This window comes from Homo sapiens, chromosome 3, assembly GCF_000001405.40.
Source record: "Homo sapiens chromosome 3, GRCh38.p14 Primary Assembly".
Lineage (NCBI taxonomy): Eukaryota > Metazoa > Chordata > Mammalia > Primates > Hominidae > Homo > Homo sapiens.
Genome location: NC_000003.12, coordinates 161,521,207 through 161,523,055, shown reverse-complemented (window position 1 = coordinate 161,523,055; position 1,849 = coordinate 161,521,207). Strand labels below are relative to the sequence as shown.

Sequence of the window (1,849 nt, the reverse complement as noted above, 5' to 3'; positions counted from 1 at the left end):
TTGAGAAGAAAACAGTCCATTGGAAACCCAAAGAGCCATTTTGTTCTTGACACATTAACAGGCTTGTCTTTTTTCTGCTCTGACACTTTTTGGTAGAGCTGAACAGCCCAAAACTTTTATTGAACAACTGAGGGTAAGGGAAGGAAAACCTCTATTAAAAGTTCAAAATCCTATTTTCATAATGTCATACAGCCAAATTGAACCCTGAACCTAGCTCCTTCCATTTTAATCCATCTACCAGCTTCTTTCACCCTAATAATACCATTTGGATATGAGGTTTCTACATTCTATTATATGCACCTTTAAGGATGGAGGCCCTGTCACATTCCTCTCTCTATGAATTCCCCCAGTGTTTATCACATCATACACAGAATAGGTGAGATAGATGGTAGATAGACAGATAGATAGATAGATAGATAGATAGATAGATAGATAGATAGATAGATAGATAGACAGACAGATAGACAGACAGATAGACAGACAGATAGACAGATGGACAGTTAGCTTAGCTAGCCTAGCCAGTGGTAGATTTTAGGTGCAACATTTTTGGAAGAATCTACTCTACTTGCTCTTTATCAGAATTCCAGCCGTATGTCACTATTTGTAGTTTTCCAAATGTATCAACCTCTTTCTATACTCTATAATTCTACCTATAGGAATCTCTGCTAGCAATGACACTTCTTGCTTTTTCGCATAAGGACTTAATGGATCCTTCAAGACCTCCTTTAATGTCATCTCCTCTCTTTCTCACTGGAATTGCAGCTCCATTAAGGCAAAGGCATATCTGTCTTGTTCAAAGCAGTATCTTCAGCATCTAGCATGATTGGCATGAGGTAGGCGCTCAATAAATATTTAATATATGGATAAATAAATGATTACAAAAGCTCCCCTAATACTCCTAGACTGTTTTCAACCTCTCTTCTGTTCTCATAATTAATAAATTTCTCAATTGATGATTTTACAAAATTGTATGATCTGTCACAATACCTGACAGAAATTGACCAATAAATATTGGACAAGTAAAATATTTGTGGCAGAAACAGACTGAGATTCACAAACCTGAGAGCTGGTTTTAGAGTTGTGGACTAAATACCCCGTTTACTAAGGCTGGACTCAGAACCATGTTTTATTTTCAAGCATAGTCTCAGCTTTAAGATGAGTAGAAACTCCTTGGATTTGGCCAATCTACATGAGCAATTAGATGTTCAACATGTTAAGTACTGCTGATCTCCACAACAATATGGACATTCTCTTAAACAGAATGTTGAGGAAAGAGGCTAGACATGAAAGAGACTGTGTGATTCCATTTATAAAAACTTCAGGAACATGGAAAATTAATCTATGGTAATAGAAATCAGAGTGGTGGCTGTGTTTGTGGAGCGAGGTAATTTAAATGGAAGTGAGCACAAGAAGCCTTCCAGGTACTTGTGAAAGCACCTGGAAGGTACTGGAAATTTTCCCTTTTTTTCCCCACTAATTTAACTCCCTCTTATCACATAAATTGCCTTCACTGATGTTTTTTCTTATTCTTTCTGTGGTTTCTTACCCTCATTTTCAAGGGCATCTTAAATAATTCTCCTGCCCAAAAGATGCTAGGCTCCACTTCCCAATTTAATATTATTCACTAACTTCTTAGATATGCTTTGTAATTTTCTAGCGAATCATTATTGCAATATTAGCACCTGTTTCTAAGGTAACAAGTCTCCCTAGAATATTGCACCGTGAGATTCCCAGACTGGCGATAAGACACTAATGGTCAGTCATTTGAAATAGTCCTGAAACCAGTGATGTGTGATATGGTTCTTAATATCCAGAGAGGGAGAGGGTGATATTACTCCTCATATCGTAG

The 1,849-nt window shown here is 37.1% G+C and overlaps 1 annotated feature.

Annotated features, from left to right (window-relative positions):
* Nucleotides 966–1,595: an enhancer, noted in NCBI's record as "NANOG hESC enhancer chr3:161239249-161239878 (GRCh37/hg19 assembly coordinates)". NCBI's record gives its function as "activates a minimal SCP1, AML or CMV promoter by ChIP-STARR-seq in naive H9 embryonic stem cells {active_cell/tissue: H9 hESC(naive)}" and the evidence as "EXISTENCE:reporter gene assay evidence [ECO:0000049][PMID:30033119]".